Source organism: Homo sapiens, chromosome 15 (assembly GCF_000001405.40).
Source record: "Homo sapiens chromosome 15, GRCh38.p14 Primary Assembly".
Taxonomy (NCBI): domain Eukaryota; kingdom Metazoa; phylum Chordata; class Mammalia; order Primates; family Hominidae; genus Homo; species Homo sapiens.
The window spans coordinates 65,528,170-65,541,438 of NC_000015.10; the positions used below are offsets into that span (position 1 = coordinate 65,528,170).

The 13,269-nt window shown below is 43.8% G+C and overlaps 1 protein-coding gene across 2 annotated transcripts in view, besides 3 other annotated features; it reads left to right on the plus strand.

The window, feature by feature from the left end:
* Nucleotides 618–1,118: an enhancer, noted in NCBI's record as "H3K4me1 hESC enhancer chr15:65821125-65821625 (GRCh37/hg19 assembly coordinates)". NCBI's record gives its function as "activates a minimal SCP1, AML or CMV promoter by ChIP-STARR-seq in primed H9 embryonic stem cells {active_cell/tissue: H9 hESC(primed)}" and the evidence as "EXISTENCE:reporter gene assay evidence [ECO:0000049][PMID:30033119]".
* Nucleotides 2,157–2,376: a silencer, noted in NCBI's record as "silent region_6556". NCBI's record gives its function as "represses an Ori minimal core promoter by ATAC-STARR-seq in GM12878 lymphoblastoid cells {active_cell/tissue: GM12878}" and the evidence as "EXISTENCE:reporter gene assay evidence [ECO:0000049][PMID:35858748]".
* Nucleotides 2,294–13,269, plus strand: part of HACD3 (3-hydroxyacyl-CoA dehydratase 3) — a 47,887-nt gene continuing 36,911 nt past the window's right edge. The window contains exon 1 of one of the 2 annotated variants that reach the window (NM_016395.4): nucleotides 2,294–2,549. In NM_016395.4, the coding sequence (NP_057479.2) occupies nucleotides 2,463–2,549 (87 nt within the window). In that variant the 5' untranslated portion in view covers nucleotides 2,294–2,462. Of the gene's footprint in view, nucleotides 2,550–2,624; nucleotides 2,665–13,269 lie in introns of those variants that run through there. The other variant, NM_001411136.1, reaches the window with a different exon arrangement.
* Nucleotides 12,368–12,568: a silencer, noted in NCBI's record as "peak2372 fragment used in MPRA reporter construct". NCBI's record gives its function as "represses an SCP1 promoter by STARR-seq MPRAs in K562 erythroleukemia cells {active_cell/tissue: K562}" and the evidence as "EXISTENCE:reporter gene assay evidence [ECO:0000049][PMID:32103011]".

A 13,269-nucleotide genomic window follows, 5' to 3' on the forward strand; every position in this document is an offset into this window, starting at 1 on the left:
CTAGGTGATAATTACATGGATATATACATATAGAAAAATTCAGCTTAAACTGAATATTTAAGATTTACCCATGTTCTATATGTAAACTACATCTCAATGTTTTTAAAAAGTGCCCCATATTGCATCTGCATTGTAGTAAACACAATACAATAAAATACCTTTATCATAAAAAATATTTTATCGTTAAAATTCAAGACTGTCAACGTCACTGCTTTCATCAACTCATTCTTGGCAGATTGCATTGGTCTCCCATTGCTTTGCCTACTACCAATTCCTCCTCCTCTCTGACAGGTCTTTCTTGCTGAGCACATTTGATTTTACTAATCTCCAGGTTAACAAACTTCCTTGGCTCCCATGTGTCTGTGGGATACAGTATAGGCACCTCAGTGAAGCAAACAAAGACTTTCCTAATGCACCCTCTGCCTTTCCAGATTCAGGGCGACCTCTCTCCTCTATGCCTTTAATCCCTAGCAGCAGAACCTCCTTCCACAACCCTCTCTCTTTTTTAAATTTTAAGACAGGGCCTCACACTGTCACCCAAGCTGGAGTGCAGTGGCGCGATCTCGCCTCCTGGGCTTAAGCAATTCTCCCACCCTAGCCTCCCGAGTAGCTCGGACCCCAGGGGCGCGCCAACCACGCCCTGCTAACTGTTGTATTTTTTGTAGAGACAGTGTATTGCCATTTTTCCCAGGCTGGTCTCAAACTCCTGGGCTCCAGCGATCCTCCCGCCTCGTCCTCCCAAAGTGCTGGGATTACACGCGTGAGACGCTGCACCTGGTCCACATCTTTTCACCTGTGAACGAAGCAAGCGCCCTGTGCTTCCACGGCCTACCTGGTTCTTACTCAGTCAAATTCCTACTCGCATTTCACCATCCCGTTCTCAAGGGTTGGCTCTCAAATGTCTGACAATGGTTCCCACGGCCCTCAGTTCCTATCATCATAAACTCTTTGTGAGCTCAGCACATTCATTATATGAAAACTCTCTATATTTTATTCTGTCCACTCTTGAGCTAAATGTTTCCAGAGAGCTAGCAGAATTTGTTTTCAGCGTTAGATCCCTCTGCTAAACAAACGGGTGCTAATAGAATCACTTTGCTAAATAAATGGGAGCTAACAGGATTGAATATGAGTTCCATTTTTGTCCCAGAGTTCTAGTTTTCATATAAATATTTCTTCCCATTAAATTCTTCTCTGCAGAAGAACTTGGGGATGAAACCCGATACAGACAAGACAGCTTAAGTAAGACATAAATGAGTGTTGTCTCTAGTTTGAGTTTCCTATTTTTTTGAGACAGTCTCCTGCACTGTCCAATAGAATAGCCACCAAAAATATGGATATTTAAGTTTAAATTAGAAGTGAATAAAGTTGGCCGGGCGCGGTGTCTCACGCCTATAATCTCAGCACTTTGGGAGGCCAAGGCGGGCGGATCACCTGAGGTCGGGAGTTCGAGACCAGCCTGACCAACATGGAGAAACCTCGTCTCTACTAAAAATACAAAATTAGCCGGTGGCGCATGCCTGTAATCCCAGCTACTCGGGAGGCTGAGGCAGGAGAATCACTTGAACCCGGGAGACAGAGGTTGCGGTGAGCCGAGATCGCGCCATTGCACTCCAGCCTGGGCAACAAGAGAGAAACTCCGTCTCAAAACAAAACAACAACAACAACAAAAAAAAAACAGAAGTGAGTAAAATTGAAAATTCGGTTATTCAGTTCAAGTACTCAAAAGCCTCATGTGGCTAGTGGCTACCGTATTAAAGAGCGCAATGTGCAATATTTCCATCATCACCTACAGTTTTATTGGGCAGCGCTGCCCTGGTCTTTATTTTCCCTTGTTGGAACGCTCTTCCACGCTGCTCCCACACCATGTCCCCTATCACCATTATTATCCTCATTTCATCTGTAATTACTTGCATCTTTTAATAGGCTGGGAGTTCTAAGACAGAAGGGACTGTGTCTCACTTCTGTTGTTCCAGTGTTTAGCTTTGAAACCCAGGCACACAGTAGGTACTCAGTAAACAGAATGCGAAGGACCGTCCAGAGACACCAGTCCCAAACCCTTTTCCAGGCTGATCGGTCCCCCATAAGTCTCCAGCCTTTTTTATTTTAAAGCTTATTTTAAAGCATGTCCCTGAAGACGAGTGGGGAGAGCAGACCACCCGCTGATTCCAATTCCCTAGGCGGCCGCGGCGAGCTGCGGCGTCTCTGTGCCCCGGCCTGCCCCTATCCCGCCTGCGCCCCGCCCCCGCCCGGCTCGCGCCAAGGCCCGCTGCTGGCGCCGCCGCCATCCCGGCGCGTCACTGCGCAGGCGCGGCCCGCGAGCGTGGGGTATCTCGAGGTGCCGGGTTGCAGGCGCTCAGGAGCGCTAGGGTTTGAGGCCTGCTTTCTGCTCGCGCCAGCAGAGCACTACCTGAGGCAGCGAGGCGCAGCGAGCCTAGCCTCCCCGCGCCCTGGGCAGTGTGGCCATGGAGAATCAGGTGTTGACGCCGCATGTCTACTGGGCTCAGCGACACCGCGAGCTATATCTGCGCGTGGAGCTGAGTGACGTACAGGTAAAGGCCGGGTCGGGCGGCGGGAAGCGCGCGGGATCGCGGCTCCGGGTACCCGCCAGGACCCCTGCCCCCTTTGTCCGCGTGCGCGCCGGAGAGCCTGCAGTGCGCCAACAAGGTCGGCGACGCGGTGCGCTTACGGCGTGCTGGCGCTTTTCGAGGCTCATCTGCAGATCTCGGGCCGGGGGCACAACCCCCCGAGGGCTGCAGGAACCTTCGGGTCCCCAGAGAGCTCGGCCTGGGCCTCTCAGGCTACCCCGGGCCTCTTCTTTGTTCGCAGTCGGCGGCCTTCATGGAGCCCAGGCCCGGCCCTGGCTGCCTGGCCGTCGGGGTTCGAGTTGGCTGGGGCCCTTCGAGATGTGGGATGAGCTTGTTGGGTCAGGGGTGCGGTTGTGACAGCGGCTTGCTGGGCCGTAGCTGAATGCCTGCCGCTGGCCTGAGAGGTCCAGCCAGGCCCCTCGGACGTTACTGAGGCTGGGCGCTGCCGGAGGTGGGGGAGGGGGAGGGGTGGGGGGCCACACCCACCTCGCAACCGTTCAGTGATGGAAATCATTCTCATTACTTTTAATTTTAAAATTCACAAGAGCTGGAGGAAGTGATTTCCCCCTCTGTTCTGAAGGTTGTGAGCTCAGGTTTGCTGAGTTGCACAGAGAACTTAAAAAGTTCTTAAGTTACATTAAGCATTTCTGTTTGAGCTCCTTGGCCCTTAATGTAAGCAAGCTGAAGGCACGTAGTAGTGGAGACTCCAGGACCTGTGTATCCTCATGTCTCTGTCCAAACTAAAGATTCTGGGCTTTGAGAAACTGGAATTTTCATTCTGGAAGGTTCTTTCTTTCTTTCTTTCTTTTTTTTTCTTTTCTTTTTTTTGAGACGGTGTTTCGCTCTTGTCGCCCAGGCTGGAGTGCAATGGCGCGATCTCGGCTCACCGCAACCTCTGCCTCCCGGGTTCAAGGGATTCTCCTGCCTCAGCCTCCCGAGTAGCTGGGATTATAGACGCGTGCCACCATGCCCGGCTAATTTTTGTATTTTTAGTAGCGACAGGGTTTCACCATGTTGGCCAGGCTGGTCTCGAACTTCTGACCTCAGGTGATCCACCCGTCTCGGCCTCCCAAAGTGCTGGGATTACAGGCATGAGCCACCGCGCCCAGCCTCTGGAAGGTTCTTTCTACAGTCATTCTTATTGGAAACTTCTCCTTAACATCTATGGCACTTTGTCATCTCTTTCACTCCATTTAACTCTCTCTGCCTCTGAACAGGCATCTGCTTGGATCACCCGTGGATCCGGTAAAATGTAGGTGCTTTCTGAGTGTCGACTTGAATTTATTGAATTTAATATAATCTTTGCTTCTGGAATATAAACAGTTTTCCTGTTGAAAGATGAAGACAGTAGTGGCCAGAATGCCTTTAAATAGGCTATGACATTGCATGGTGTGTCGTTTAATGTGTTCATCCAGACTGAGGCTATACTTTTGGGTCAGAGTATGAGTAAATGTTCTGTGCTGTCTCCCTCTACTGCTCCACGGTGGTTTAATAGAATAGGAAAAAACAAACAAAATCTTTTGTAGATGGGGATCAAAGTCCCCGTCTAGAGAGGGTTCTTCCAGCAGTCAATAAAAAAGTACGGAACAGGCCAGGTGCTGTGGCTCACGCCTGTAATGCCAACACTTTGGGAGGCCGAGGCGGGAGGATCACCTGAGGTCAGGAGTTCGACACCAGCCTGACCAACATGGAGAAACCCCATCTCTACTAAAAATACAAAATTAGCCGGGCATGGTGGTGCATGCGTGTAATTCACTATGTTGGCTACTCGGGAGGCTGAGGCAGGAGAATTGCTTGAACCCGGGAGGCGGAGGTTGCGGTGAGCTGAGATGGTGCCATTGCACTCCAGCCTGGGCAACAAGAGTGAAACTCTGTCTCAAAAAAAAAAAAAAAAAAGTAACCATCTAAAAATTTTTGGGGAAAAATAAATCATTTTTCCCCCTTATTGAGTTTTTGTTTTCTCTGGGGTTTCACATCTGTAGTTTTGAGGCACCCATATTTCAACTACCATTAGTTTAAAAGCATGATGTTACCCTCATAAAAGAGTGTTTACATGTGTTAGCAATCCTCTAACACATGTAAGGTAGTACAGATTTACAAAGGTGAGTCAGACCCAGCTTTTCAAGGGCATGCTATCTAGAAGGAGGCGTATCATATACAAACAAAAAGTTTTGTGTAGGAGTATGTTTATTGGTAGAATTGGAGTTGGATGTTGAACCAGGTATCTGGTGTTAAAGGAATTTGTTACCTTTCTTTCATTTAGTTAGTGATGACTTCCAGAAATGAGAATTATTTTTGTCAAACTAAGACTGGGAGAATGTTCCAGAAAGAGAAAGGCATAGACTTTTAGACACTTGTAATCTCTGACTTAAGCCGTGTCAATGCCCAAAGGCCACCAATAACACACCCGTAGTTAAACAAGTTGGGTTTATTACTCATTGCATTGAGAGAGCATACTCCATGGGGAACCCTGGGGTGTTTCATTAGGAGGGTGTTAGAACTGATTATAGGATTTGGGTGTTGGTGATTAGGGGAGGGGAGGGTTAAGGAGGTTGGGTTTCACTTCAGATAAGATCCTGTAAGAAAATATGGGAGTTTCGTGGTTGGGTATCTGAATAAATCTTACCTGTAGGGCAGGGAGACTAGTATAAGAACAAAACTGTAATTGCTACAGGAGTAGCAGTCACTCAATTTGGCCAAAGGGTGTTTGGTATTTCGTGAGTGGCATAGCCACTATGTATTTGTCTGTGCTTATAACAAAATTGTGAAATGGCCTTTGTCTCATTTTATGAGGATTTCAGAGTAACCTTGTCTGAGGTTGGTATTCTGTGAGATTGTTTATGTCCCATAGGAGAATAACATGGCCTGGCTGTGAGTGCTATGCCTGCTTCTGGAGTGTCACGGGTTGCCTTTTTTTTTTCTTTCTCAACTGATTGCTCTATGCAGGGCCTGTTGAAACCAGTGGTTTTACATGTGCAGATTTGTTATTTAAAAAAAAAAAAAAGAAAGAAAAGCAGCCGGGTGTGGTGGCTCATGCCTGTAATCCCAGCACTATGGGAGGCCGAGACGGGCGGATCATGAGGTCAGGAGATCGAGACCATCCTGGCTAACACGGTGAAACCTCGTCTCTACTAAAAATACAAAAAAATTAGCCAGGCGTGGTGGCGGGCGCCTATAGTCCCAGCTACCAGGAGGCTGAGGCAGGAGAATGGCGTGAACCCGGGAGGTGGAGCTTGCAGTGAGCCGAGACTGCGCCACTGCACTCCAGCCTGGGGGACAGAGCGAGACTCCGTCTCAAAAAAAAAAAAAAAGAAAAGAAACCAGTGGTTCTGGCTCTGGATGAAGCACTTCATTTATTTGTTCAGTAAAAATCGTTTATGGAGTACCTACTCTTGTCTATCATTAAGCTAGGTGTGGGGTTCTTGGACAGCACTTTAACACTCTCTGCTTTCTATAGCATGACCCACAGCTTATGTGTAAGTGTGAGTTTTAAAGTGTTAAGTTCCAGTTTGGAGGCATTGGCTCTGTCTCCCTCCATCCTGACACAGGGAACTGTCCAGTCATCACATCTCTATTCTGTCTTGGATGCTGCAGGGCTAGTGACTATGAGAGAACACGGCTGATGTGAGGAGAAATGGTGGACAATAAAGACTTCAGCAGTGGCATCGTCTGTGCTTGAGGTGAACGGTAGCAAAGAGGCCAGCTAAAGCAGGGTTACTTTCAAGATTGAATTTACTTTCACGATGAACATAATGAACGTGTTTGTCCCGAGAAACATAGTTGTTAAAGCATTGGTTTATTTACAAGGTGCTTGTTTGTTTTGGGTGTTGTGAGCAGAGAACAGAGCGTAGCTGTGTTTGAGAGCTGTTTGAAAGATATTGTTCCTGTCCTTACCTAACAGAGTCTGGTGGAAAGAGTGCTAACTGAACACATGAGATTGGGTCCTTGTTCTTATTACACTTATGCTCTAGTGACCATGATTCACTTAACCTTTATGAACCTGACGCTCTTCATCCAGACAGATATGAACAGTAGTGCCTAACTCATAGGACCATTTTGAGATTTGAATTGGAAAATGGATTTGAAAGTGCTTTGCAAATTCTAGTGTGCAGTTCAAGTGAGTGATTATGATGATTGCGATATTAAACCTTAGATGAGAGGGATGGTCACAGAGCAATGGAAGAATAGAGCCTATTAGCAGACCTATTCATATATGAAAAGTTAAGGTATGACAAGAGGCGCTCTTACAAATTAATGAGGAGAGAATGACCCATTCAGGAAATTGTACTGGGACAATTGGTAATCCAAATGGCAAAAAGAAAATAAGATCCTGCCTTATGCCATACACAAAAATCAGTTTCAGGTGCATTAATGACCTAAACGCATAAAGAAAAACTACTAAAAAGAAATATAGGAGACTATCTTTATAATATTGGAAAGGGGGAGAATGTGTTAAGCAAGATGCACAAAACACAAACCCTAAAGACAAAGATTGGCACATTTAAGACAAACTTGAAGAAGACATTTGCAGTGCATATCATTGAGAGATGACTAATATCACGACTATTTAAAGAACACCTACAGACCAATAGGCAAAAGACGTATTACCTAATAGAAAAAGGGGCAGATAATATAAACATTTCAGAGTAAAAGGAAACAAGAATGACCAATAAGTCTGAAAAGATGCTTGACTGCAATTATGACCAGGCACATGTACAGGCATACCTTGTTTTATTGTGCTTTGCTTTATTGTGCTTTGCAGATAATGCGGTTTTGACAAATTGAAGGTTGTGGCAACAAAGTCTGTTGGCGTCATTTTTCCAACAGCATGTGTTCATTTAGTGTCTCTGTGTTGTATTTTGTTAATTCTTGGAATAGTTCAGATTTTTTCATTATTATTATATCTGTTCTGGTGATCTGTGATCAGTGATCTTTGATGTTAACTTTTTTTTTTTTTTTGAGGCAGGGTCTCACTCTGTTGCCCAGGTTGGAGTGCAGCAGTGTGATCATAGCTCACCGTAGCCTTGAACTCCTGGGTTTGAGCAGTCCTCCTGGCTCAGCCTACCAAGTAGGACTACAGGTACCTGCCTAGCTAATTTTCAATTTTTTAATTTTTTTAGAGGTGGGGTCTCATTATGTTGGCCAGGCTGGTCTTGAACTCCTGGACTTAAGCAATCCTCTTGCCTTGGCCTCCCAGATCCCTGAGGTTACAGGCTTGAACCACTGTGCCTAGCCTTGATGTTACTATTGTGATTGTTTATTATTTATTTATTTATTTTTGAGACAGGGTCTCACTCTGTCACCCAGGCTGGAGTGCAGTGGTGTGATCTTGGCCCACCGCAACCTCCGCCTCCCAGCCTCAAGTGATCCTTCCACCTCTGCTTCCCAAGTAGCTGGGACTGCAGGCATGTGCCACTGTGCCCAGCTAGTTTTTGTATTTTTTGTAGAGACGAGGTTGGTCTCGAACTCCTAAGCTCAAGTGGCCTGCCCACCTCGGCCTCCCAAAGTGCTGGGATTACAGGTTTGAGCCACTGTGCCCAGCCACCATTGTGATTGTTTTATGGCAAAATGAAATGCACCTATATAAGATGGTGAACTTAATCGATAAATGTATGTGTTCTGACTGCTCTCACTGGCCATTCCTCCATCTCTCTCCCTCTCCTTGGGCCTCTCCTCTGAGACACAACAATATTGAAATTAAGCCAGTTAATAACCCTACAATGGGGTCGGGTGTGATGGCTCATGCCTGTAATCCCAGCACTTTGGGAGGCTGTGGTGGGTGTGTCACTTGAGGTCAGGAGACCAGCCTGGCCAACATGGTGAAACCCCGTCTCTACTAAAAATATACAAAAATTAGCTAGGTGTGGTGGCGGGTGCCTGTAATCCTAACTACTCAGGAGGCTGAGGCAGGAGAATCACTTCAACCTGGGAGGCTGAAGTTGGGTGAGCTGAGATCACGCCACCGCACTCCAGTGGCAGAGTGAGACTCTGTCTCAAAAACAAAACAAACAAACAAGCCCTACAGTGGCTTCTAAGTGTTAAAGTGAAGAGTTGCACATGTCTCACTTTAAATCAAAAGCTAGAAATCATTAAGCTTAGTGAGGAAGGCATGTCAAAACTGAGACAGGCTGAAAGCTAGGCCTCTTGCACCAAGCAGCCAAGTTGTGAATGCAAAGAAACAATTTTTGAAGGAAATTAAAAGTGCTATTCCAGTGAACACCCAAATGATAAGAAAGCAAAATATCCATATTGCTGATATGAAGAAAGTTTGAGTGGTCTGGATAGAATATAAATCAGCCACGACATTCTCTTAAGCCAAAGCCTAATCCAGAACAAGGCCCCAACTCTTTCAATTCTATGAAGGCTGAGAGGTGAGGAAGCTGCAGAAGAGAAATTTGAAGCTAGCAGAAGTTGATTCATGAGGCTTAAGGAAAGGCTCCATAACATAAAAGTGCAAGGTGAAGCTACAAGTGCTGATTGTAGAAGCTGCAGCAAGTTATCCAGAAGATCTAACTAAGATCCTTGATGAAGGTGGCTGCACTGAACAACAGATTTTCAATGTAACAGCCTTCTACTGGAAGAAGATGCCGTGGAGGACTTTTATAGTTAGAGAGAAGTCAATGCCTGGCCTCAAAGCTTCAAAGGACAGTCTGACTCTTTTGTTAGGGGCTAATGCAGCTGGTGGCTTGAAGTTGAAGCCAGTGCCCCTTTACCATTCTGAAAATCCTAGGGCCCTTAAGAATTATGTTAAATCGGCCGGGCATGGTGGCTCATGTCTGTAATCCCGGCACTTTGGGAGGCCGAGGCAGGTGGATCACCTGAGGTCAGGAGTTCAAGATCAGGCTGACCAACATGGCGAAACCCCGTCTCTACTAAAAAATAAAAAAAATTAGCTGGGCATGGTGGCGGGCGCCTTTAATCCCAGCTACTTGGGAGGCTGAGGCAGGAGAATCGCTTGGATCTGGGAGGCAGAGGTTGCAGTGAGCTGAGATCGCACCACTGCACTCCAGCCTGGGCAATAGAGAGAGACTCTGTCTCAAAAAAAAAAAAAAAAAGAATTATGCTAAATCTACTCTGCCTATGCTCTGTAAGTGGAACAACGACTCCTGGATGATAGCACATTTGTTTACAGAATGGTTTACTGAATATTTTAAGCCCACTGTTGAGGCCAACTTCTCAGAAAAAAAAAAAAAAAAAAAAAAAAATATATATATATATATATATATATATATATATATATATATATGTATATTCCTTTCAAAATATTACTGCTCATTGACAGTGCACCTAGTCCCACCCAAGAGTGCTGATGGAAATGTCAAGGAGATTAATGTTGTTTTCATGCCCGCTAACATAACATTCCTTTTGCAGCCCATGGATCAAGGAATAATTTTGACTTTCAGGTCTTATTTAGAAAATACTTTCCGTAAGGTTAAAACTGTCGTAGGTAGTGATTCTGTGATGGATCTGGGCAAAGTCAATTGAAAACTTTCTGGAAAGGATTCACCATTCTAGATACCATTAAGATCATTTGTGATTCATAGGAAGAGGTCAAAATATAAAAATGAACAGGAGTTTCGAAGAAGTGGAATTCAACCCTCATGGATGATTTTGAGGGGTTCAAGACTTCAGTGGAGGTAGTAACTGCAGGTGTGGTAGAAATAGCAAGAGAACTAGACTTAGAAGTGGAGCCTGAAGGTGTGACTGAATGCAGCAATCTCATGATAAAACTTGAAGGGATGAGGAGTTGCTTCTTATGGATGAGCAAAGAAAGTGATTTATTGAGATGGAATCTATTTCTGATGAAGATGCTCTGAACATTGTTGAAATGACAATGAAGGGTTTATACTGTTTCATAAACTTAGTTAATAAAGCAGTGGCAGGGGTTGAGAGTATACTCTGATTTTAAAAGAAATTATTCTCTGGGTAAAACAGTATCAAACAGCATTGCATGCTGCAAAGAAATCTTTAGTGAAGGAAAGACTCAATCAATGAGACAAACTTCATTGTTGTCCTCCTTTAAGAAATTGCCACAGCCACTCCAGCCTTCAGCAGTCACCACCTGGATCAGTCCACAGCCATCAACATTGAGGCAGGACCCGCCACCAGCAAAAAGATTACAACTCCCTGAAAGCTCACATGATCATTAGCATTTTTTAGCAATGAAATATTTTAAAGTTAAGGTATGTACACTGTTTTTTAGAATAATACTGCATACTTAATAGACTATAGTATAATATAAACATAACATTTATATATACTGGGAAACCAGAAACTTTGTGTGACTCACTTTATTGTGATATTAGCTTTATTGTGGTGGTCTGGAACAGAACCTACAATAGCTCCAAGGTATGCCTGTAAATTAAAATGATAGGATACTGTTTCTCACATTAGAGTAGGAAAATTGAAAAAGCCTGACATGACCAAGTGTTTCTGAGAATGTTCAGTGACAGGACTTTTTTTTTTTTTTTTTTTTTTTTTTTGAGATGGAGTCTCACCGTGTCACCCCAGGCTGGATTGCAATGGCTCAATCTTGGCTCACTGCAATCTCCGCCTCCTGGGCTCAAGTGATTCTCCCGCCTCAGCCTCCCGAGTAGCTGGGACTACGGGCGCCCGCCATCATGCCCTGCTAATTTATGTATTTTTAGTAGAGATGGGGTTTCACCATGTTGGCCATGCTGGTCTCGAACTCCTGACCTCAAGTAATCTGCCTGCCTTGGCCTCCCAAAGCGCTAGGATTACAGACGTGAGCCACCGTGCCCAGCCGGACTTTTTTTATACAGTTGGTGGAAGTACTAATTGGTACAATTGATTTGGAGAACAGTTTTACACTATCTTGTCAAGCTGAAGTTGTATGTCTTTATGAGTTGGAAGTTTTGCTTTTTAGAGAAGCTCTTACACATGCAGGTGGAGGTAGAATGTTCATTGCAGCAAAAAATTGAAAACAGCCTCAATTTTTGTCAGCTGGAAGAATGGATAAATTGTGGTATATTTATACAATGGCACACTGTACAACAGCTACAATGAATGAAACAGAACCATCTTTATAGAATTAAAGCTTAGAAATATAATATCAAATAAAAAGCAAGTTGAAGAATGATATAGGCAGTATGAAATTATTTTTGTGACATGTCAAATCATACTGTATATTGTGAATGCCCAACGTGTTTTAATGAATAAATAAATACAGTGGAAACGACCAACTCCAATCCTGGAGTAGTGGTTACCTGCGAAGTTGGGGCATGTTTGAGGGAGAGGGCATTGGGATTGAGAAATTGTATAATGTATCTGTTTCTGTTTTATTTCTTTTTTTAAAAATTGAGGCAAATAAAGCAAAATGCTAATGGATGTTAGATATAGTGGTGTTTGCTATATTTTTCTGTTTGATTTTGCTTGAAATATTTAATAATAGAAATCAATAAGTCTAAGCTGTTTATTACCACAGTACAAAAACTACTTATAAAGCAGTAAGTTAAATAATCTGGTAACTGTTGACCACTCACAATGGTCCAGGCACAGTGCTAAGTACTAGATATTCAGTAATGAGCAACACATATAAAGGCACTACCTTCAGATTGAGGGAGACAGACAATAGATATGTTAATAAATAATTACCTAGATAAAGTGCTATGAGGGAAATAAAGAGGGTGATGAAATAGAGAATAATTGGTAGAGGCTATTTTAAATAGAGTGGTCAGGGAAGGCTTCCTTGAAGAGGTGATATTCTAGCCGGGTGAAACTTGAAAGTTAAAACAAATGGTGCAGAAAGCTGGGGCAAGAACATTCCAACAAGTCCACAGACTTAGAGGCAGGCAAAGGCTTAGTGGGGTTCCAGGAGCAGAAAGGATATTAGTATGTTTGGAGTGTAGTGAGGAATAAGTTAGAGGGAGATGAGGATAGAAGGGTTTGCAAGATGTAGGTCATGTAGAGCCTTGTTGCCATGGTAAGGAGCTTGGGTTTTATTGTAAGAGCAATGGGAAACTATTAAAGAGTTTTAAGCAGAGAAGTGACTTTGTAGGATTTGTGTTTCAAAAAAGATTATTCTGGCTGCTATGTGGATTATAAAGGGGCAAAAGTGAACTCTAGAAAACCATTTAGGGAGGCTGTTATAGTAGTATGGGTAAGAGATGAGGTGGCTCAGTTTAGGGTTGTGGAGGTGGAAAGCCATGGACACATTTGAGATATATCTGAAGAGAACCTTGAGGCCTTGATGGACTCGTTGGAGAGGAAGGGAAAAGAATTAATGACTAGTCTTAAGATTTTGACTTAAGCACAGAGTAGATGACAACTGAAATGATTAAGACTGGAGAAGAGATTTAGGGGCCAAAATCAAGAGTCCCCTTTTGGACATACTAGTTTGAGAGTCTTGTTATAAACAATTTCCATGTGAAAATGTGAACTAGTGATATAACTATACAAATACAGAGTTCAGGGCAGTAGTCTGGGTGAAAATAGAATTTTATAGTATCTTAGACTTAATTGATTGTAAAATGCACCACTATTTTATTTTTTTCCCTCATGATGAGGGGAAAAATGCTGCTGATTATACTGTGATACAAGCTTTCTTATTACTTTGAGTATTTTTAATTTATTGAAAGAGCTCTCTGAGAGTTTATTTAAACTGTTAATGCTGTTCAGCCAAAGATCACCAAAACACACCTTGTAGTTAAATAAGTTGGGTTTA